At 42.6% G+C, this 24,145-nt stretch overlaps 1 protein-coding gene across 24 annotated transcripts in view; it reads right to left on the bottom strand.

The window, feature by feature from the left end:
* The window catches only part of CHN2 (chimerin 2), a 367,738-nt gene that overhangs the window by 27,363 nt on the left and 316,230 nt on the right, over nt 1-24,145 (bottom strand). For 13 of the 24 annotated variants that reach the window (XM_011515105.3, XM_011515106.3, NM_001398427.1 and 10 more), the window contains one exon: nt 6,610-6,687. In XM_011515105.3, coding sequence (XP_011513407.2) covers nt 6,610-6,687 — 78 coding nt within the window. Of the gene's footprint in view, nt 1-2,990; nt 3,151-6,609; nt 7,213-24,145 lie in introns of those variants that run through there. The other 11 variants (NM_001039936.3, NM_001293080.2, NM_001293079.2 and 8 more) reach the window with 4 other exon arrangements.

The following is a 24,145-nucleotide window of genomic DNA, read 5'->3' as shown; positions in this document are numbered from 1 at the left end:
AGCAAAAAGTCTTCTTCCAAAGCAAATGACCACTAGACTGAGAAGAATGCAAAAATGAATGAAAGGCCTAGAAATCATCAAGGAGCCTCAAATCCAAACTGGGAGGTGGTGGTGCTGCCACGTCCTGGACAGGTGTTTTAGTGGGAGCGTGGGGACATATTCTTAGCTTCTTGAACTTCTAGTCCTGGCCTCCAGGATAGCACGGGGTGGGGGTTGCATGTTGAGAAGGAGCATGCTACAAGAGCACACGCGATGGGGTGTGCCATGGGAACGGGGTGCTCCTGGTGCATCCTCAGTCTGTCAGCAGAGTGGGGGACATATAAGAGTAAGTAGGGCAACCATTTCCCCTACGTCCTGATGGGATGCTTTTGAAAGGCGCCACACAGGACAGCTGTAGTGAACTGGGACAGATCCCTCCTCCCCCTTACCCGCCCGCTCCCATGGATCAGACACGGGGTAGCACTGCACAGTCACCATCCCTGGCAAATGGGGATTGAGAGCTGGCCCGACACATCCTGATAGGGCCTCCATCTCTCCTGCGCCATCTGATGACCCTGGCAAGGGCCCACTCCGTGGAAGGACTCTAGTACAATGAACACAGGTGCATACAACACACAAGCCGCACAAGAGGGCAAACTGCAGGGCAGGGAGTGAGGAGAGGGCTCCGAAAGCTCAACTGTAGGGAGATACGGTCCCCTGCTTTCTGCCAACGTGAATGAACAGCTTGTGGGCCAGGACTTGTTCTAGACACTGGGGTTTCTGCAGTCAATAAAACAGACAAAAATCCCCACTCCACGAACCCTCTCTCCCCACCCCCTCCCATCGGGAGTTTCCCTCTGGTAAGGGGAAGGCAGGCAAACACACACATAAATATGTACGATGTCAGCTGGTGATCAGCGCTAGGGAGAAAAGGGAAGCTGGTACAGGCTGGGCAGGAGGTGGAAGGGGGGTGGAAAGGGAGTGGGGAACACACAGTGAGGGGGGTTAGAACTTTCTGGGCCTCTGCTCTCCATCCATATTCCATATCGGGAAGAAGGAAGGGTATCCTGGAAGTGCATGGGGGTGGGAGAGAATTTGGCAGGAAAGAGTGATGCAGATCCCCATGCAGACTGGAGAGGCTGGGAACAGAAGCAGCAGGCTGAGTGGGGGAAGGGCCTGCTCAGGAGACTCTGATGGCTCCAGGGCCCAGGAATCATCATCTTTCCACCATCTGGCCCACCCCAACTGATGATTTAAATGTGATGGACTCCTTTCTGTCCCCGAGGTCTCTCCCCTGCACCTTATTCGCTCCTGGCACATTTCTGACTCCAAGTTCTCACTCCTGTTGTTTGCATAGCCCGGGTGCTCTTTCTTTCCCCTGTATAACCATCCTTGATCTATTTATCTACTTGGGCTTCAGCCAACTTTCCACCTACCCACGAGGATTCTTGGTTAAGGCTGAGAGAACAACCACACTGTCTCTTACACAGGATCTCCAGCACTAGGGAGCCCCCTCCTCTTTGAATGCTCACAGAAGCTTGTCTTTTACTCCTGTTTTTTTATACATCACCACAGGGTCAGCTTCAGGGCGCATGTGACCTGCGCTGTTGCACAGAGCCCTGTCCTTAGCATGGTTTAATGTGCTGCTGTCATAGTTTTGAAAGTCTCAATTTTTTTTTTTAACAAGAACCTCATATTTTCATTTTATACTAGGTCTCACACATTACCTGCCCAGTCCTGCATAATCAATCACACATATTAGTGTGAACTAATAGCTACATCATAAATTTGATTATAAAGTATAACACATACTCTGAATATGAACCAGCTACAGCAAATAGACACTTTCAACTTGCTACTAAAAATGGAAGCTCACCAGCTATTTTAAAGTTTTTTTGGTGCCTCTTTTAATGAAGAAATGCTTGGTAAAGATAAGAGACAAAGAATAACTAAGTTTCACCACTTTCTATCAGAGCAATGAAGCACTGATAAGAAAAATCCATGAAAACTTTTCTTTACAGATGTTAAAATCAATAGCCATGGAAATCAGCAGTTATGCCTGGACCAAGGGGTTGACACTTAGGAGCAATTAGATTACATCTAAAGACCTTTTTTCATGGACATAAAAATCTTTAATGAAACTGTAAACTTTAACATTACTGACAATGCATCCTTTAGGGTGAGGCTAGAGATCCTTCCTATTGAGGGTTCCTGAAAATGTCAATTACAGTTCCTATAACGGGTTGCATCGTATATCCCCCGAAAGGTGTGCTTCACTCCTAACCCTGGGTCACTGTGCATATGACCTTATTTGGAAATAGGGTCTTTGAAGATATAATTAAGACGACATCATACTGGATTAGTATGGGCCCTAAATCCCATGGCTGGCAACCTTATAAGAAGATGACAGATATACAGAGACATACAGAGAAGGCTATATGAAGATGGAGGCAGAGATTGGAGTGGTGTGTCTACAAGACAAAGAACGCCAAGGACTGCCGCAACCACAAGAAGCTAGGAGAGAGCTGCAGGGCAGTTTCTCTTTCAGAGCCTCCAGAAGGACCCAACCCTGCCCATACCTTGATTTCAGACTTCCCAGCCTTCAAAACCACCAGCAAATAAATCTGTGTTGTTTTAAGCCACCAAGTTTGTGGTCATTTGTTATGACAGCTTTAATAGAAAGTACTTTTTAAAAGCTAGGAGAAAAATGTGTGAAATCTAAATCTAAATCATCTAAGTCATCCATTTACTTTTTAAACAAACGAGGGGTATAAACCAGTATTGGCTACAGGATGGAATACATTCAAGGAAATAACCATCAGGCTTTATTTCATTTTCTCTTACATATAATTAATGAGAGAAGAAGAAAGAGATGGTAGAAAAGAGACAAAAGAAAAAAAGCCATGAAGAAGAGAGGGTAGAAAATAAAAGACTGAAAAAGCTAGATACAAAAATACAAGTGAGAGGCACAAAAAGATAATAATAGATGCTAACATCAAATGAATACTTACTGGGTGCCAGAGACCACGATAAGTGACTCGCATGTATTCTTTAAACCTCCCAACACTCCCATTTTATAGATGAGGGAACTGAGGCAGAGAGAGCTGAGCTCTTTGGAAGAACATGGTGTGGCCAGGAGTACTATGCGGGCTAAAGCTACCTCAGCACTGTGCTAAGTGTGGGCAGGAAGCCGAGCAAGCCGACTGCCGGGCCTCTGGGGTTGGCTGGCCTGAAGATTTTCAGAGCTCAGCCATAAGGTATTATTAGGGTGGACCATTCAAAAGAGAGCTGTTCCAGTTACAGCAGAGTGCCTCCTTAAATCAACTAGATAAACAGAGATGCAGTTATAAAATGAGCTAAATAACCGAGTGGTTTTTCTCTTGACAAACAGTTTTCATTTTAGAGAGGAGTCTGTTAATTTCACCATTCCTCCAACAAATACGTCTCAGTGCCTAGTAGGTACAAGTAACCCTAGGAAATCCAGGCTTTAAATAAGCAAAGATTGCATCAGCACACAGTGTTGAAAAGTATACAATTATTGCATGCGATGAGGTGCCAACTGTCCTTTGGTTCCCAAAGCTTTTGTTCTCAGAGCCGAATTTTACTTTGCTTAGACAAGCTTTGTTTGAGAAGCAAAGGCAGTGACTGTGAGCTTTCTGAGAGAATAGAGCGCAAGGTCCCAACTTAGGGAATGTTGGGGGTTTCTATTCATTCCTCTTGACAAAGTTCCTGGGCAGAGCAAAGGAAAGGGCTTTTTACCTGGGGTAATAGTTCTGACTGGGGCAAACAATCTTGTTATGGGGTAAGAAGAGAAACTCTACTGGCAAATTTGAATGTCAGGTAGGAGGCCTCTAGAAAAAAGTGCAGGCCGGGCGCGGTGGCTCACGCCTGTAATCCTAGCACTTTGGGAGGCCGAGACGGGCGGATCACGAGGTCAGGAGATCGAGACCATCTTGGCTAACACGGTGAAACCCCGTTTCTACTAAAAATACAAAAAATTAGCCGGGTGTGTTGGCGGGCGCCTGTAGTCCCAGCTACTTGGGAGGCTGAGGCAGGAGAATGGCATGAACCCGGGAGGCGGAGCTTGCAGTGAGCCGAGATCGCGCCACTGCACTCCAACCTGGGAGACACAGCGAGACTCCGTCTCAAAAAAAAAAAAAAAAAAAAAAAAAAAAAAAAAAAAAAAAAAGAAAAAAGTGCAGACAGCACCTAGCAAAGCCTATTATCTGATGAGCATGAAAATGTGATTATTTGTTCTTTTTATTGACTGCTTACTATATGCTATGCACATAGTAGCCTCAAATATTAACCCGAATTACAAATCAAGAAGGCTTCTGAATAAAGCCCATTAGAAGTTAATGTAAATAAAAAGCTAATGTAAAATTAAGGTCTGAAACACAAATTCCAAGCAGATGGCAGGGACCTAGGATAAGAATTTTCTTCCTTTAGTTCAGTTCAGTGGCTTGTCCCTAAAAACCTGCCACTGTATTTATAGCCTGAGCCTGCTTTTTGAATGTTCTTCCAAAAACCATGTAAAGTTTCCACCTAGAGTTAGTTGCGGGTGAGGAGTGGGGAGATTGAGGGTGGAAAGGGCAAGGAAGGACAAAGGGGATGCCTCATCTGGCCCCTGCCACTCATTCTTAAGGACAGTGGCACCAACAGTACCATCGAATGCCACAATCAACTGTCACAGCTACTTGAGGTCTGCTAAGTTTCAAAGATGTCTGTTTAAAACATGGAAGAGAAACGCTCCTGTCTGGCTTGTGTACTCCTCTTGAACAGCTTCTCTATTTTGTGCCTTTTCTTCTTTCAAGAGCTGTTAACGGTGAATAGCTTTTGAGTTTTTAAACAAATATTAGAAGAGCTGCTGGTGTTTTCCAGTGATAAGTAATATATTGTGTTAGCAACAGTACTACTTAAAAAATAAGATTTAATTATCTTTTAGTTTTAAAATGTCTTAAGATTAATTTTCCATTCAGGGATCTAACATTAAAAGGACTGAAATTAGTTTTGAAAATATCAACTATGTATATTTGTGTGTTTTTAACACAAGCTCAGACACAGAATATACATGGACAAGCTACTCCATGCAAACATATTATAGTATGGCATAATTCCAATTTCTTAACGCCAAATGAATTGGAATTTTCAAGAGGAAGAAAAAGAATTTACAAGTCCATGAAGATCCATCCTCTCATCACTAGTAGTGTATCCACAGGATGCAAAAAAATCAAGGATTTCTGCTAAAAATCAAAAAAACACTTTCTTAAGGCCAAAAAAAATTAATGAGGATAAAAATGGAAAACAGAGTAAAAAAAAAAAAAAAAACGGGAGGCATTTAATGCTCCAAATTAGACCTGTCAATATTCAGTGACGGGAGAAATATGAAAAGCTTTGGCATAGAAGAGGACCTATGCAATGCAATTCTTCACCCTAATGCTAAGTATGTAGGGCTGTATAATTCCATTCCTCAGTTCAATTATAGCATGCAAATGCCTGAGCTGCTGGCTTTCTAAAAACAGATGCAGGGAAACAGACCAAACTAACACCAATGTATATTTAATAGATGAATATTTGTCCTCAGAAAGGATCGGAAAGCAACAGAATAAAATCAGTTTCCCTCGTCACCTCTGACAAAAGGGTTATCTAATTCCAAGAGTCACTTGGGTTACTGACCCTAAAGGAAACAAGAATTTTTTTAAAAGAAAGCAATTCACATTTTGCTTCTCCTGCCTATTGTTTTCTTCCTGGATCCTCCATCTCCACTCTCCCCAACTTTCAAACTGCCAGCTCACTTTTTGGGGTGAAGCCTCTAACTCTAACCTGTCTCTCCTCCTCTCAACTGCAATTCAAGCTAGACAATTTGGCAGCAGCATCCCTTTCCAGCCCTTCTTGGAAAACACTTGGGCAAAGGAAACAGGCCATAATTTTCTGATGGCAGGCCCCTTCTACAAGTACCAGTCTGAAACGAACATAGCGGTCTTTCCAGTTTATAAATTCACTTGGGAAATTCCACTTAACCCCTCACCAGGTTTCCAGATCTTTTTGTTTGGTCTGGTGAGCAGGATAAAGGCTGTGACCAAGGGTGCCCCCCCTGCTAGCCGTACCCGGAGCACAAATAAAAGCTTCTGGATGGCATCTCCTGTCATTATTTGATTTCACAGGTGTCTACGCATAAAGGAAAGGAGTTAGCATCACTGAAAACAAAAGACAAAACACAAAACGAGAAACAGGCAACTGTTTTCCCTTGCTCGGAGACAGCAATATTCTTTACTGAGTGGAAAAGTACTGCTCAGCTCTCAGCAGAACATCTCTGACTGAGAGAGACTGGGCATGCTCTGTGTTTATTTCACTGGACATGGGAACGTGAAGTGGCAATGGGCCCAATTCTCCAAAACTAAGTCAACATCCAGATAAGGTGTTTCCAGGCATAAGCACTGAGCAGACTGCTTTCTGAGGTCTCCAGTTTGAACTGACAGAAAGCGCAGGTGTTAAGCTTATAGCTAAATGTGGAAAGCAAAGGAATTCATTGTCTCTTGACTTTACAGTCAGAAACCAGACGGAAACTATACACTGTACCTTTCCACCTGCCCTTTTGTAACAGAAGAAGGAATGCAGAGGCTTGCTTACCTTAAAGTTGTGTGTCTTCTCATAATTGAAGTGGTTGTCGTTGTGTGTGAGGGCAGCCCTTCGAACCAGGGAGGAGATCTGTGAACAGGCAAAGAGTTTGAGAGGGGGCCAAAGAAAGCCGCCTTTGACACCCACCTTCACCCCGAAGGCTACGGCCAGCAGTTCTTGGCGTTTCCTGCCCTGCTTAGACTTCCGAACCACAGCACACTTTTTCTCATTTTCCAGCCACAGTTCTTCAGAGAACATAGTGCCTGGATCCCAGCTCTTTCCAGTTTGCTCTGCAGAGCCCAGGAAGCCCTGTGCTGTCAGGATTTTCGAACCGCAGCTTATGTTAGGCGGCAGATTTGAGGCAGCTGGGTCCTGTCTGCAGCAGCCTCCGGCATGTGACCTGAAAGGCCCAGTTTGAGTGATGGAGGGGGCCCGGCTTCTGAATAAGGATGGGCCTGTTTTGTGCTATTTCTTAAGGCCGACGTGCGCCTGGAACAATAGCAAACATTCATGTGCACAGCAACCCCCAGAAGCGGTATCCAGTCAGCCACTGAGGATTCAGGGAGGCAGGGGCCGGCAGCCTGCTTTCTCCTGCCGCAGCACATTGCAAAGGAGAGGTCTCTCCTCCTTATTAGCACATTTCACACTCAAACACACCAGCGCACACACCCCCCAGCCAGCTCTGACGTTCAAAGTCTGAGGCTGCATCCAATTAATCTGGGGCTCTGAACCCCATCCTGGGCTGAGCTCCAACAGATTAAACCTTTAAACCCTGATGACTGTTTAATCTTATAGGGGTAAAGCCTATGTCTCTTTATTAAAAATCTGCCTTAGCACTTGAAAGCTTAATTTTTATTCTTATGCATGCATTACATTGGAACAGTCTGAGCACCAAATGGGATATCAGAGGAGAGCAAAGCTTTTCCACTCTGAGTTCTGCAAAGTTGCAGAATAAGAGGCAGGATGTCTTGCCTCAGGACACTCCCCGGTCTCTCCTGTCCTTCCTGCACGAACAAACTCTGCTCAAACCCACACAGACAAGACAATATTCCTTACCTAAAATCAAAACATCATAATTGCTTTTCTTTTAAATAAAACATCTTCAGTGTTCATTCTGTTAGTGCCCAAGCCTATGAAAATGGCCTCCTTCCTCTTAAAAGCATCATCTGTTTGATGGTCTCCCATGACCCTAATTCTTTGATCCTAGGTCTCCCCATGAAAAGAAGCAGGGAAATCCTGATGTCTTGGGAGTACTCCTGACTCATTGGTGAAGATTAATGCAGCTAATGCCAGACAGTAAAATTAATGCTTTAGGAACTAGAAAACAAGATCTAGATAACTGGGCCTTTATGTAGATGGGCAGTCCTGTCCTCTACTCAAACAAGGGCCCCATGCTGCAGTCCCTCCAAGCAGCCTTGTGAAGAGTAACCAAAGATCACTCCTTCCCATGTGTAATTCTTTATTCCTGGTAAACACCATGATTTTAACTTGGTTCAAAAGTTCATCCTCCCATTTCATCCTCTCATGACCTTCAATAATAACACCCAATTTTTACGTTAAGCTATTGAGCACAATAATTTACGCTGTGTCAGAGGACGTTAGAATGTGTCAAAGGCACTTAACTCATTTAATCTGCAGCATATGGGTGTGAGGAGCAAGATTTTTATTCCCGATTCTTTTGGATGAAGAGAGCAAGGCACTGAGAGGTAAAGCAATTTGCCCAAGGACATGCAGCCTAGTTTAAGTGGCAGAACCAGGGCTAGAACACAAAGCATCTGTGTCCAGCGCCCATGCTCCTCAACACTGTGTCCTGCTGCCTCGGTACACCCATGTGCTGCCTCATCCTGCCATCAGTCCTGACAAATGCTTTATCTCAGATACTGGTTGAGTCTGGCCTCTCCCTACCTTTCTTTCCCCACATAACTCAGACCCTTGTTATCTCTCCAGTCCACCTTACACATCGCTCTACAACAATCTTCCTAATCCACCCATGCTTCTCCATAGCTTAACTGTGTCCTGGCATTGCTGGTTTTTCATGAGCTGATCCTAATGTACCCAGCTCATCCTATTTCCCTACACTCCCCTCCACAAATCCTACAACATCTCTTCTGTGACATACTTAACTGCTAACCTTGGTAGCTTGCTCTGTTCTTTAGAATATTCTAGCATCCTTTCAACATATCTACATTTTCACCAACATTTACATTCTGATTCTAATGCTACCCTTTCCAAAAGGACTTCCCCAGACTCCCCACTGAAGGCCAACTGTGTCCTCTGAAATCCCATAGTGTTTTATCCACATTTTTCTGATTGCACTTGTCACTTTCTGTCTTGTATTATAGTGACTATAACAGCTCTTATCCCTGCCACACTGAGAACTCACTGTGACATGCTCTATGCTTAATTTGCTTTTGTTTCCCCCTACAAAAGTGTCTAATAAGAGTCCTTGCCACAGTAGACACTGAATAAATATAAGTTGCTAGAAAGCACATGTACATATAGGAAGCCAGGGTTGTGGAAGAAGGTGTGCAAAGAGGACTGCATGGTGCGGGGTCTCCAGTCCCTCCTGTGACCACCCATCCACTGCCTCAGCTTCCAAAGACAAGGTTCCCTCCAGGGGTCTACTCTCTTAATGGGCTTCACCAGGCCCCTTGGCCCTTCTTCCCACTGTCCCATTCTGAAGGACAACTGTTATGGCAGGCGTTAAGTGAAGGCTTGGCATACCTTTGCAGGGCTTCCCATCCTTAGTCTACAGGTAAAAAGATGGAGAGAAGCAAAAAGGGTCCTTTCCCAACCTTCACTGCTAGCAAAGCGAGAGAGACCTTTTGATGGTGAGCCATTTGTGTAAGGGCAAATTCTGTGATGTGGACTGGACTAATGACATGAATATACCATTTTTAGAATCTGATCAAATAACTATTTACATGGAAAGTGGCCAAAAGAATCTCCTCCTTTTGGTCTATGGATGGTTGAATACAATGAGATTTAATATTTTTTCATGTCTGTGCTTGTATGTATAACAAGTAATTTTTATTTCCATTTGTGACAGTGATTTCTTTTTCAGCTATTGATTCAATAGAATTTACCCAAACACAAGACACATTCAGACAAGTGAAGGAACCAACACTATTCCCTTAGGATGCTTCTTTACAGGGGACTAGAAGTGTTAGCCTTTGAGCGAGCATTACTGGGAGCAGTGTGGGTGACCTCAGATCACCCTCTTATTAAGGGAAAACTGATTACAGTAATCTCTTGGCGAAAACTTCTCTCTGAAATAACCCCATCACACAGAGCTCTTTTTTATCTCAGCTCCTCAAGGACAGCTCCTTGCCTTATTTTATATGCTCCGTAATGTCTAATATAGTGTTCTCTATACACAAGGGACATTTAATACATTTGCTGACCGTCTTCTTCTAATGAAAATTTCTACCTGACCTATTTTAATATATACATTCATGAGATGAAGCACATTTCCCTACATGCTCTGTTTGAACCAGGGATTCTCACTGGAACGAATGGTCTTTTGGGCCAGATAATCTTTTGTTGTGGGAGGCTGTCCTGTACGTTGCAGGATGTTCAGTGGCATTCTTTGCCTGTATTCACTAGATGCCAGTAGAGCCCCTCCCCCTAAGTATGTAATAAAAAATGTCTCCAGACATGGCCAAATATTCCCTGGGAAGCAACGCTGTCTCCAGTTGAGAATACTGGGCTAAATTAATAACACAAATATTAATATTTATATCATGCTTACTATGTGCCAAGTGTTATACTCAGCGCTTTGCATATATATGTGTATTTTTTTTTTTTAATTTTTATTGGTGGTTTTTTTTTTGAGACGGACTCTCGCTCTGTCATCCAGGCTGGAGTGCAATGGCGCGATCTCGGCTCACTGCAACCTCTGCCTCCCGGGTTCAAGTGATTCTCTTGCGTCAGACTCCCAAGTACCTGGGACTATAGGCACGTGCCACTGTGCCTGGCAAATTTTTGTATTTTTAGTAGAGATGGGGTTTCACCATGTTGGCCAGGCTGGTTTCAAACTCCTGACCTCAGGTGATCCACCCACCTTGTTCTCCCAAAGTGCTAGGATTACAAGTGTGAGCCATGGCACCCGGCCCACTTTGCATATTTTGACTCATTTAAGATTTAAAACCCTACGAGGTAGGTACTGTTATAATTACCCTTATTTTACAGATAAGGAAATGGAAGCTGAGAGTTTAAGTGACTTGCCCATGGCCACATAGCTGGTAAGTGGTAGAATATAGGCACAACTAACTGAGCCTATCTTTCCTCAAAGCCCTGAAGAACAAGTGTCTTTCCTTCTACTACACTTAACATAAAATTTACCATTTTAACCATTTAAAAATGTAAAATCCAATGGCATTTAATGCATTTACAATGTTCTGCAACAATCACCACTACCTAGTTCCAGAATATTTCATCACCCCAAAATGAAACCCTGTACCCATCAGTACCACTGCTCATTCTCTTCTCCTCCCAACCTCTGGCAAACACCAATCTGCTTTCTGTCTCTATGAATTTGCCTATTCTGGATATTTTGTATAAAGGGAATCGTACAATATATGGGTTTTGATATCTGGCTGCTTCTTTTTTCTTTAGATATTTCACTTAGCATGTTTCAAGGTGCATTTATGCTGTGGCATGTATCAGTACTTCATTCCTTTTTGTTGCTGAATAACAATCCATTGTATGGATATACCACACTTCATTTCCATTTATCAGTTGATGGACATTTAGACTGTTTTCACCTTTTGGCTAATTGTGAACCATGCTACTAAGAATATCCTCATACAAGTTTTGTTTGAACGCTTGTTTTCAATTCTTTTGGGTATACACTAAATCTATGCTTTTAAATATTGTTTAAACAGTCTCTCATCCCCATAATACTTACATTAAAAAATATGCAGTGGTTGAATGCTTGAATTACTCTCTTCCCCATTATAGTCTGTCAACGACTAGCAGGTCTGGTGTTCCCTGAACTGGTTTTTAAATAGGAGACTTTAGTTCTCCCTGAGCCCACTGTGAAAGCAGGTACCACTTAAGATACTTCTGGAAGTAGGTGGGGCTATAAATAAATGGTGACATAAGCTCACCACTTCTTTTTTTTCTTCTTTTTTTGATGAATAAAGGTTGGGATTCTATTTTCTAAGCCCTCTCACTGTTCTTCTTTCTCTCTACAATTAGGATCCTGGATCCAAGAAGGAATCAAGTAACGAGAAGGCAATGAGAGGTTGTCAGATATAGACAAGGAGGAAAGGGTGGGTCAATGGGCAGGAAGACCTGGGAAAATGGAGCCCTTTTGGGTGTCTGTGGACATACAAAGTGCCCAGGAAAGGAATGGTAGAAGAAAGACAAATACCCCTCTCACTACACTGGCTCTAATAACCTAGCATCATAAGCCCAGAAGGGACCTTAGAGGTTCATCTAAGCAATGGCTCCTCCTCCACCTGGCTTCAGTCAGGACCACCTCTCAGCTTCTAGGGAGCACAACATTGTGCTTTATCAGTACCAATTTCTAGAGAAGGTGATTTGCCACCAATCCACAACCTTTCCACAAACTTCAAGTAAATTCCAGTGCTACATTTTAAGGAGGGCTCTTTGAAAATGTCATCATTGGTCCTGTATGTCTCCCTGTATTCCAACCACAGTGTCTGTGCTGCTGATAGCTCTACAGTTCTGTTTATTGAGTCTGAATCTTCCTTAGGTGTTGACTGCCCGAGCTATACTCCTATTCCAAACACTGTCCTGCTGTTGCAGCCTTCTCTGCTTCATGGCAGTGCATGAAATGAAAATCAATATTACGAATGATGATGAGGGTGTGGTGAGGAGAGTTCTTTAATATCCCACTGGTGTTTGTGTGAACTGGCCTGTGTCTGGAAAAAAAAAGTTGGAGATGGATCAAAAGCCGGGAAAAGTTCATGTGCATTGATCCAATTATTCTATTTCTAGGATTCTCTTGAAAAGGTCTTCAGACTAAGATCTAGATAGATGGATAGATATAGAGATACAGATATTCATCAAAACAATATCAAGAAATGTGAAAAAGCCTAAACAGTCAATATAGGGGAAAAGTTAAATAAATTATGGCATAAAATGTAATAGGGTATTATGTAGACATTAACAAAGACAATTAAAAGAACATTTAATGATGAGAAGATTTGCCTCTGGTATAATGTTAGGTGAGAAGTAGGCTCCTGAGCCATGTATAGTATAATTCCCAGATTTGTAAGTAGGTATGCACAGAAAATATCAGAAGAAAACACACCAAAATATATTCAAAATACATTCACTCAAACTGCTGAAGATAAGCAACAGTTACTTCTGGGTGGAAAAATTTTAATTGACATTTATTTTCTTCTATATTCTTTGCATTTTTTTTTGAGTTTCCTACAATGACTATGTTCTTATTCCATTATATAAAAATGATTTTTAAAGTATATTATAAAACTCTTATTAGATTTAGTGTGCATGGATGATAAATTCTTAACCATTGAGATTGTCTAATCCCTCCTCCACCTTTTACAGGGGAAGAGACCAAGGGCCAGAGAGGTTCCACAATTACCTCTTATCAAAGAGCTATTCTACAACTAAATCTGGAAGCAGATCCAGACTCCAGCTTCTCCTGCCTTATACCTGCAGGCATCAGAACCCCCGGAGGGCTTCTTAAAACATATGGAGCCCCAGAGTTTCTGGTTCAGTCAGTATGAGATCAGGCCAGAGAATCTGCATTTCTGATCGGTACACAGGTGATGGTGATGTTGCTCGTCTCGGGGCCACACTTTGAGGACTCCAATTTTATCTTTCCACTGAACCTGTGGGTCGCAGCCTTGCCTGATAATTAGAACACACACACACACACACACACACAAAAAAAAAAAAACACAAACACACACACACAAACACCCCATGCTCAAGCTCTACCTCTGCCCAATTAAATCCAAATTTCTGGAGATGGGGGCTGGGCTGTAAAAATCCTCCAGGGGATTGTAATGTGCTCTTAGAATTGAGACTGACCACACTAATCTCAAGTGCTTCAGTTCAAGGGGATTGCCAGAAAAGATGAAAGTATGAACGTAGTCAGTGCTATTGACTAAATCCCCTCCAAAGGAATTAACGTTGTTTCAAACACAAAATATGATCATGTTTCTGCTCATGCTCACCCCACACCCACCTCCCATCATGCCACTTAAAACCTCCAAAGACGATTTAAGGCAAAGGCAAAAATCCATACCATGCCCTGCAGGGGCTTGTGGGGTCTGGCCCCTGCCACCTTTCCAGCCTCGCTTGCCACCACTTTCTTCCTGCTACCCTGAGAATGTATACACACACCTGGATGTATATTAGTATGATTTTAAAATTATGACCTAGGGCCCTCACTAGCCTGCTAGCCTTATGAAACAGGCCCAGAATCAGGTCTCCTGAGGTTCTTTCCATGGAAATCCCTGGCACCACATGTGTGGCAGACTGGGGGTGCTGGCTGCCCACAGCCCACTGACACAAAGACTCATTCCTCCTCTCTGTTCCTAGAGGAATTTTACAAACATCTAAAGCAGAAAAATTATTTTTAACCTACCTATAAAAGAAGAGTTCTATTAACTCTTCTCTGGTGACTACCATGATGCCAACATTGGCTTGACATTCAGGACAGTTCTGTTGCAGGAAAAAAAAAACATGCCCATTTTTCAGCAGCTCTCTGTCTTCCTTTCCTTCCATCAGAAATGATTTCGACTTTTATGAAGAGTTAGCATGCTCTTTTTTTTTCCCTTGGCCCATTGGCTCATTCCCTGAACATATGTCTGGGGTACTGGTGTTGGGTGATGACCCTGGGTGTCCCGTTATTTCCCCAAAGCCACAAAATGTTAAATCCTGCCCAGATCCAGGAACACGCAGCAAAATGCTGCAGCCATTCGTACAGCCCTGGATGGTGTGGGAAATCTACACTTTCCTTTGTTTTCACGCTCTGTGGGTCACACTAAAATACTTTTAATGTTGGTTGGTGGTATACTAAGGGTATGCCTACTACCTATTTCTGTGTCTAATGTGTGTGTGTGCGTGTGTGTGTGTGTGTGTGTGTGTGTATTTTGTTTTGAAAAGCTTCTATGGGGATTTTGAGGGGACTGGTGGATAAGGAGGTGCGGTGATGTCCACTCTGGTTTTTTGCTATGGCATTGTGGAGCTGGTTCTCTATTCCTTTTGGGAAGAGAAAAAACTAGAAATGCTAAGTGAAATAAGCTCCAATTGCCGAATGATAATCAAAGGGGTGGTTATCTTTTATCAACCCAGCCTGCTTGATCCTATGTACTTTGAACCCTCTTGCATACTGCCAAATGAATCATCCTTGCCTTTCCTAAGAATTGCCCTGTTTGTTATATTCTTTGTTTATGGTTTTCAGTCCTGAAAGAGGAGGAAGACAACAAAGACATATAACTAAACGCAAACACATTGCCATGGCGCCAAAGAAATGAGAAAGATCAGGGTGGGACCTGCCGTCTTTCCTGCAATTGGGCTAGTTCAAGCTGTATAGTCCTGGTTTTATTTGAGGCCATTTAAGCATCAGGTGTCAACGATTAACCTGGCTCAGTCCTAAAACTGCTGCTGACCTCCAAACCTGCTGCCTTCTGATCTGAGACAAGGTTCCTTGTCTCTGATGACACACCATGCCCAGCTGCCACGCCGATTATTCTCCAGGGACAGATGGCGACTCTCGATGTGAGAGACACACAGAAGTGCCGAAGGAACAGTCTTACTGCCCCTCCTAGAATACAATTTTGCCTCATTCAAAACAGTCACCGTTCACCCAACCTGAAAGGCCTGTATGTGCGCTGAAATGGACCAAAGTACCTTGTTTAGCAGCAAATAAATAACCTGATGCTTCCTGGGTTGGCTGATCGTGCAATGCTACAGTTGCTGTCCTTCCCACATGATACCACCAGCTGTTCTGCTGAGACTGATGTCAAAAATTGTGGCTAATTTCTGATGTTTCTCACAGACTTTTTAGATATAGAAATAAAAGATACTCCACCTCATAGAGGAAGACTTTGTGTTGCATTAAGGATCTCGCGCATTTCAACACGTCATTGTTATTATTTGCTTTTTTGTTTTGTTTTGTATGCAGTTTTTGAGAGAGTCAATATTAACAACAACATGTTTTACCATCAGAGTAATCCATTTCCTTAAATACGAACTTTAAAAGTCTTAGTCCAATTTCTCAAATGCTAAACTTTAGAAAGTATGGTAGGGTTATTCTTGAGAGAATGGAACATTTGTTAAATCAAACTCCTTAAAACTTTTGTAAAACTAAGATCCAAGTAAATAGTGTAAAACCTAAGGGAGAAGCAGCTATTACGAAGTTCCCAGCTACTATCTTCCTTCTTGCCCTAGATGACTTTCTTCTCATATTCCATATTCATTTGCTTTTCTCTGTATTTTCCTTGCTGATATATGACGCAACTCCCCACTTCTGGCCAAAGAAGTAAGTGCCCCAAATGACTGACATGTGGGTTTTCCTACAAAAGTCAAGACACTCAATTTCTAGCTTATGGCATCAAACTGCAATATTGATGTTGGGTGTCTTTCTCAAGCTCCGCTCACTCAGGGGAGCCTGGGAAATCCCTGCGAAAGGCCAGACATTTGTCAAATTGCATTTTCTTGTCCACTACTTTCTTGTCCAAATTATGGCAATTTGCAAAGCAGCACTACAGAATGTACCAAACATAGCCTCCAGCTACTCCTTTACCAGGTTCTGTGGTCAGAAGTTGGAGTAAGGTGCACCTTTATCTACAGAAAAAAAAATCAAATTAACCGGTTGTTTTCTCCATGTGAACTGCCCCATGTTAAAAACAACCAAGATACCTATGAAACAGGTTTTCAAAATTTCACAAATAAAAATATCTCCAATCCCTACTGTGCTTTTTACAGTGAACAATCACCCAAACAAAATAGTCCTTGGCGCCACTCACAGCTGTGCAGCTGATACTGCTCAATATAGTTCTTGGGGATATTTAAGAATGCAGTAGTCCTGAAACATGGATGTTGACACATTCCAAAGATAATCTAAGTTTATTTCTGGTCTCCTGTGTGAGTGGTGGCTGGGATTTCCAAAATCTACAATTGGTCCTTGTATTTGTGTTTGGGAAGACTAGCTCTACCAAGCGTAGGACTGTGTTGTCCCTTCCCAAATGGAATGTCAGAGTGTGTGTGATTGATGCAGACACCTCTCAAGCCACTCCCTGCTCTGGAAAAGAGACTGTCATGCTAATGAACAAGTGTAAATATTCCAGGGGAACACAGTTCAGTCTGAAATGACCACATGCAATTTGGCCTATGCTCTGTTTTAATGCAATACAATTATTCTTGGATATGTTGCAAACATAGCTCCTTCCTTCCTTCTCTCCCTCTTACCCTCCCTCCCTTCTTTCCTTGCTTCCTTCCTTTCTCTCTTCCTTCCTTATTTCAGCAAATAATTATTGAGCATCTATTATTTATCAGGCACTGTATTAGGCCAGTGAGATAGAACAGGGAACAACCACTCTAAGAGAGTAGACAACAAACAAAACTAAGAAGTACATTGTATATTCTTTTAAAAAGTGTTGGGAACCATGAAGAAAAACAAAGCAAGAACAAGGATAGGAAGTGAGAGGGAGGTTACAACTTAAATCAAGGTGGTCAGAAAAGGTCTCATGAGAAGGTGACATTTGGAAATTTGGGCAAATACGGGCCGGAGGTGATAGGTGAGCCATGCTGACATCTGGAGGAAGAACATTCCAGGCAGAGGGTACAGCACATGCAAGGCCATGAAATAGGAGCAAGCATGGTAGGCTCCAGAAATAGCAAAGATCAGGAACAGCTAGAGTGGTAGGTGCTAGAAGGTGAGGTAAGGGACCTAGGGCCTTCTGGGAAGGAATGGGACTCCCACTTTCACTCTGAGTGACGTGAGCAGCCACTGCAGAGTACTGAACAGAGCTGTGGTATCATCTGAATGACTTTACAAAAGCATTGCTCTGCCTGCTGTGTTGATGACTGTAGGGGGGCTAAAGTACATGCAGGAACATCAGCTAAAGGCTATGGCAGAAATTCAGCTAAAGGATAGACAGTGGCTTGGATGAGGGTGGGAGCAGTGGAGGTGATAAGGAATGGCCAGAATCTGGATATTGTTTCAAGGTAAAGTCTACAGGATTAGCTGACAGGTTGGATGTGAAGTGCACATGAAAGAAAGAATTCCAGGTAATGGTGCAGTTTTGGGCACGAGCAGCTAGACAGATGAAGTTTCCATTAAATGAGATGAAGAAGACTCCAGGAGGAGCAAGAGTGAAAGAGAAGGCCAGCTGCTCCATTTTGGGTATAGGAACATTGAGGCAGTTGGACTTACAAGCCTGAGGTTCCTGAAGAGACAGATGCCAGAAATCTACTTATGGGTAGATGGATTTTAGAGGAAGAGAGTTAGTGCAGATAGAGAAGAGCAGAGACCCCAGGACTAGGTTCTGGGACACTCCAATCATTAAGGGGTCAGAAAATTGAGAACTAGTCACAAAGAAAGACAAGGAAAGCTAACGCTCACAGGATAGGTATGATGGGGAGTGAGAAAGGACCACAGGGGTTAGCAATATGAAAGTAAGTGATCATCTTGACAGGAGCAGTTTCCAGCAGCAGTCGGGGGAATCTGATTGCACGTGTTTTAAGAATGGGAGAAGAGCACTTGGATCAGAGACTACTGTACAGCCAGTGCTGGGAGTACCGGGGAGCCAAGCACTGCAGTAAAAAGAGTAGGAACAGGTGGGATCCAGAGAGTTGGCTTGTTTCTCCTTTTAAGAAAGAAAGAAAGCTACTGAGATTTCCCTTGTCCATCATAAAACCACACCCCACATAATAAAGAGTCTGACTCCATTTTTATTGTTTGACTGCTTACTGATTGCAAGTCAAGAACAAGGCCAGTGCACTCCCTCCCTTGGTGTTGGTGGAAGTTCAAACCATGCAACCCCTGCTGGCATGAGAACACTTACCCAGCTCCGCCTCCTAACCACCACAGAACGCTGAGCCAGTCCCAGCTCTCTCAAGCCATTTTATGGACCTGCCTGGGGGTCAGTCCTGCTTCCCCCAGAAAGTCACATCATGTGAACAATAAAACTTTGTACATCCTTTTGGTGGAAGTATGGCATCATCAATCTCAACACCAAACAAAATTTTGGGTAGTCGGGCGGGGGGGGGGGGGGGCGGGTCCGTTTGGTTTCTGTGAAGATGTCATGGCGGCCCATTGGAGCTGAAAATCCCCTGAGATATGACCTATAATGACCTATACCTGCTCCTACTCCCCGACATGTTATCAATTCTCAGAACCCAAGACCCATGCTGCAAAGACATGATATTCTTTTGTGAAGAAGCAGCACACATGCTCCCTACCACTTAAAACATAGTGGTAGTTTCTAAATCTTATTAGAATCGTATCAGCAACAAAACAGAAAAAAAGAAAAAACCTAACAATTATTGAGCTCACGTTGTGCCAGGCAGGTTAACCATTTTCTCATTTATCTGCACAACCATCCTATGCCACTGGTATTATTACCCTCATTTCAGATATGAGGAAGCTGAGCTTAAGAGACTTCTCACTATGCAAGCTTGCACAGCTAATAACTAGGAATTGAACCCAGAGCAAGCTACTTCCAGAGTTCATTCTCTTAAACTTCATGTGATTCTGCCTCCACTTATCTGTCCCCCACTAGAGTGTAATATCCTAAGAACCCTGGACTTCATTTTCTAATCTCTTTGGTACCAAGAAACATAAAAAGCACTTAGCAAAGGTTTATGGATAAATGCGTGTGTCTGCAAACCTCCTGCTGATTTGCCCAGGTTCTCACAGCCAGTTAGTTGTAGAGTCAGGACAAAAAGTCAGGTCCTTGAACTAGCTTGAACCAAGCTCTTTCCCCTATGCAACAACAGATCTGATCCATATCCATGCTCTCCCACATTGCACAAGTTAAACAACATGCCCTACCCCACCCGCTACACACAAACACGCATATCAAACACAGGCAGGAAATTGCCAGACAGTGTACTCTGTTAAAATCATCTTAGGAAGTAATTTGGCCATGTGGATAAAGAGTTTCAAAATATTAATATCCTTTAAGATTCAGTAACTCAATTTCTAAGAATCTATCCTAAGGAGATGGTTTATAGCAACATGATTTCTAATGTGAAAAATGGAATATATTGTGCACGCTCTAACATCAGGAAATAGCTACGTACATATGACACTCATGCAACAATAAAAATGATGCTTGTGAAGAGTGTACAATAATATGGCTTTAATATGCTTCATAAAAAAATGTAGAATACAAAATGATAACTATACTATGCTTACAGGTATATTTAAAAAATCCCAGTGCATAGAAAATCATTGTAAGGAAACAGACCAATGTCTACCTTTTTTTATCTTTTAAAACTTCTTTAATTATATTACATTTATAAATGGTATGAGAAAAAAAGAAAAACTTTGCCACAGAAAAACAAAATATTTTTTCCCAGTTTTGTTTTGTATTTGAACTAGGAGAAAATGTTTCCCTTAGGGAAAAAATTAGGCAAGTTTCAAACAAAACTAGAAACTGAATAGATCTAAAGTATCAGAGTCTTTTGTGATCTAGATCTCACAGCTGGGATACATTTGCAGAAACTCTCAGATGTGCAAAACAAGTGGTTAAGTAACTTTATTGGAAATGAAAATTCTTAATCTAGCAGGTATTAAGGAAGGATTCACTTTCTGTGGGACTTAAACTGAGCCATTTTAGGGCCTCTATTGATAGAAATGAAAATCATTCCAAAATGCAAGAGAGATCACTATGACATGTACAAACATGATTTAGGTTAAATCCCTGAAGAAATTTTCATCTTTAGCCAAGAGAACTAAAAGTTTTAAAGTAAAAATACTGTATCATGCTGCTCTAATCATATATATTATTATTTGAAAGGCCAGGGGATAAAAGAATAATGAATATTATCATGTTCATATAACATAGATTCGCTCCAAATAAATTTATCTACACCCAGAAAATTACGTCTCAATATGTAGAGTATAGCTATGATAATTTTAGCTTTGGTAACCAATCTTTCTTTCCTTCCTTCCTTCCTTCCTCTCTTCCTCTCTCTCTTTCTCTCTTTATTTTGACAATTTCACTCTGTCTCCCAGGCTGGAGTGCAGTGGCGCAAACTTGGCTTACTGCAACCTCTGCCTCTGGGGTTCAAGCGATTCTTGTGCCTCAGCCTCCTGAGTGGCTGGGATACAGGTGCACCCCCAACACCTTGCTAATTTTCATATTTTTAATAGAGACGGGGTTTCACCATGTTGGCCAGGCTGGTCTCGAACTCTTGACCTCAAGTGATCTGCCCACCTGAGCCTCCCAAAGTGCTGGGATCACAGGCGTGAGCCACTGCGCTCGGCCTGTAATATTTCAATAATGGTTTGGAATGGAGGAGCTTCCATTTTACATAACCCAAAAGTTTTCTAGTTTAATTTTTGTTTACTTCAGTCTTATAATAACATGGCTCCATTTAAAATTTTTTATCAATAATGGAAGGTTTCCAGCCATCTCCTGAAGAGTTGTGTAAGAAGTCGGCACTGTAATTGGCCATGTGCAATTTGAGTTGGAAATGCAGTGTGCTTATCAAACCTGTGGTCATAGAAATGGCAATTAACTCTAAAAATGGTGACAAGTTTTTGTTTGCTAAGAATTTCTTGTTAGGAAGACTCTGGAGCTAAGTAAGCTGTCCAGGTTAACATTCCTGCTTCCACCCTTCATAACTGGGTGACCTTGTGCCAAGTTATTTAACCTCTTTGTGCCTCATTTCCTCAATGTGAGATGTGTATTGTAATAGCAGGTTCCTCAGAGGATGAAAAGTGCAACTTAAGTTGTAAGTTGGATATTGCTCAGATCTACAGCTGGCACCATTTTATATAGGTGTGTGCATGTGTAATTTAATGAATAAACTTTCATGATTATGCAGATGATGTTTTCAAAGTAAAGCATAATCTTAAGAAGGTGTTGACATTTGAGTTTAGCTAAGACTACATTTCCTTCATTTAATACAATAAGAAATCCCTCTCTGACCTGCCACAATTCCTAAACATAAAATCATTTTAATTTGATCAGAATCACTAGAAAGCTAAGATGAAGCTGGAAGGATTTTAATCACAAATGGCAGTTCTTCAGAGGCACTTGGCAGAATAAACATGAAGTTGCATGAAAGATGTGTAAATGCAGGCTGTGTCCTGAAATATTCTGATGATATCAGAAGGAAAAAAGGCAAGAAGGGGATGTGTTTTAGGATGTGAATTTATAAAAACAAACAGAATGAAGGATTAGGTTGTAGCTTAGATTGGTTCTGGGGATGAAAACACGGCTGGCGGCTTTGATCCTGGGCTCCATCTGGCATTGCACTCAGGAAAGAGCCTCCCATACTCCTGGAGAATGTGGGAAACAACAGCAGGGCAGCCTGTGAACGTCTCCATGGGCTCAAAACCTTCACATTCAGCTTCCTCACCTTGCACATGTAACTGGGTGCTGGAAGCAGATGGAGCTCCCTGTTCCTGTGATGCAGCAGGCTTCTTTGAGAGTTATGAAGCAGAGGACACATTTCTAAGCACAAACCATCAGCTACATTCAGGAGTCACCTGGCCAACCTGGGTGTATCATGAGTAGCCATTTTCAAAGGCAGTCACACCAAATCCAACCCTGATGCTTTAGACTACACCTAGTTCCAATGGTTCTTAGACTACTCATAGGACACTAAGCATATTTTATGAAAATCCACTTTTTTAAAATAAGCTCCAGGATACGTGTGCAGAATGTGCAGGTTTGTGACATAGGTAAACGTGTGCCATGGTGGTTTGCTGCACCTATCAACCTTTACGCAGACCCACTTCTATATCATCCAGTCAGGTTTCAAATTCATGTTCCTTAAAATATTAGTTGCTCGGTGATTAAATACAATTCAAAAAGTCAACATATATCACTTTCTTGGAGGATTACAGGCATGTCACTGTTTTAGAACAACCAGCATTTTCCAAACTATTTGCAAGGCCAATGAATACCTACCAGTACTAATGTCCGGGAAACTAATACTTGATACCTCAGGATTGTTGTGTTGATTGAAACAGGCAATACACATAGTTTCTAGTGCCCAAAACAAAATAAGGGCTCAATAAAGGTCAGCTATGATTATGATTAATCGTAACTATGCTTTAAATAAGCTTAGCTAGCCATCCTGCTGTACCCTGAACAATGCACACATAAGAAGACTGGTGTTGGTCCTGTCAACAAGTCCTGGGTGACACTGTGGGGAGTGGAAAAGGTTGTTATGTATCCTTTTTCTTCTATGAGGTGAGTCATTCAGGGCCAGTGGAGGGGGCAATGCCAGTCAAAGTAAGCACAGGATTACTGGCCACACCCGATGGCATAAGGTACAATTCAGCCATGTCGGTGCCAGGCAGGCAGGCAGGGCAGGAGGCACCACTGCTGGGCACTCAGTTCCACATCTATACACCAGCAGAGCTTGGACACATCTCTAGTTCTTGTGGGCCCCTCAGAGCTGCTATGATGTCTTGCTAGTCAGAGCCCAGGGTGTCATCTGAATCCCAGCATTCCACATTGTGACCTGTTTAACTCCCTGGTGCCAGAGAGTCTAAAGTCCCAAGATTTCCAGGCCCTCACCCAAAGTGTTAATATCCACCCACCTTATTTTCTAAAGCCATCTGATGGATAAGAAACCATCTCTTTAAACAGTCCTTTACCCCCAAATGACATCTTAAACAATCTGAGTCCACAGGAAACTGCCCTTTTACCCATAGCCCTGAGCACTTCCAGAAAACTGTTGCGCTCTGGTAAAAGCACAAAAGCCGAGACCCTAAGGAGAAAGAGTGTCTGTGGGGTGGGTGGAAGCATGGTGGCTATCACTGCTTTGGGCATACTTGTGTGGTTGCAGGTGGTTACTCTGTGGTCAACTGCTTTGCCCTGGTTTCCTTACATGGGCTCTGTTGCTCCATTAGGAAAGTTCACTGCCGCTGGTTTAGCTGGTAGCCAAGGGTTCCTCTCAAAATTGGCATAATCCAAGAGAAGCATTAAATTCAGAAAAAGAAGGAAGCATCTTCTTGCCACAATGTTGCCAGCACATTCTAGGTGTATTGGGAGGCTGGGGACCTGGTTCTTCCCTCACAAAAAGAAATGCTAGGTATTAATGAAAATGATGCTCAAAGGGCAATGAAATAAGGTGAGATTTCCTTGTGTTGGAATTCTAGGGCTCAGTTTCTAAAAACTGGGGATGCGGGGTTTTCTAAATGGCTGTAAAACTCTTTTACATTCCTCTGTTCAAGGTGGAGTGGGGAGGTAGGTCTCTTCCTTGGGAACCCGGATAAACTTGTAACTTACTTCAACTAATGTGGGGTGGGGGGAGGGGGGAGGGATGGCATTAGGAGATATACCTAATGCTAAATGACGAGTTATTGGGTGCAGCACACCAACATGGCACATGTATACATATGTAACAA

This window comes from Homo sapiens, chromosome 7 (assembly GCF_000001405.40).
Source record: "Homo sapiens chromosome 7, GRCh38.p14 Primary Assembly".
Taxonomy (NCBI): Eukaryota; Metazoa; Chordata; class Mammalia; order Primates; family Hominidae; genus Homo; species Homo sapiens.
This window is presented reverse-complemented; position numbering and strand designations above follow the sequence as displayed.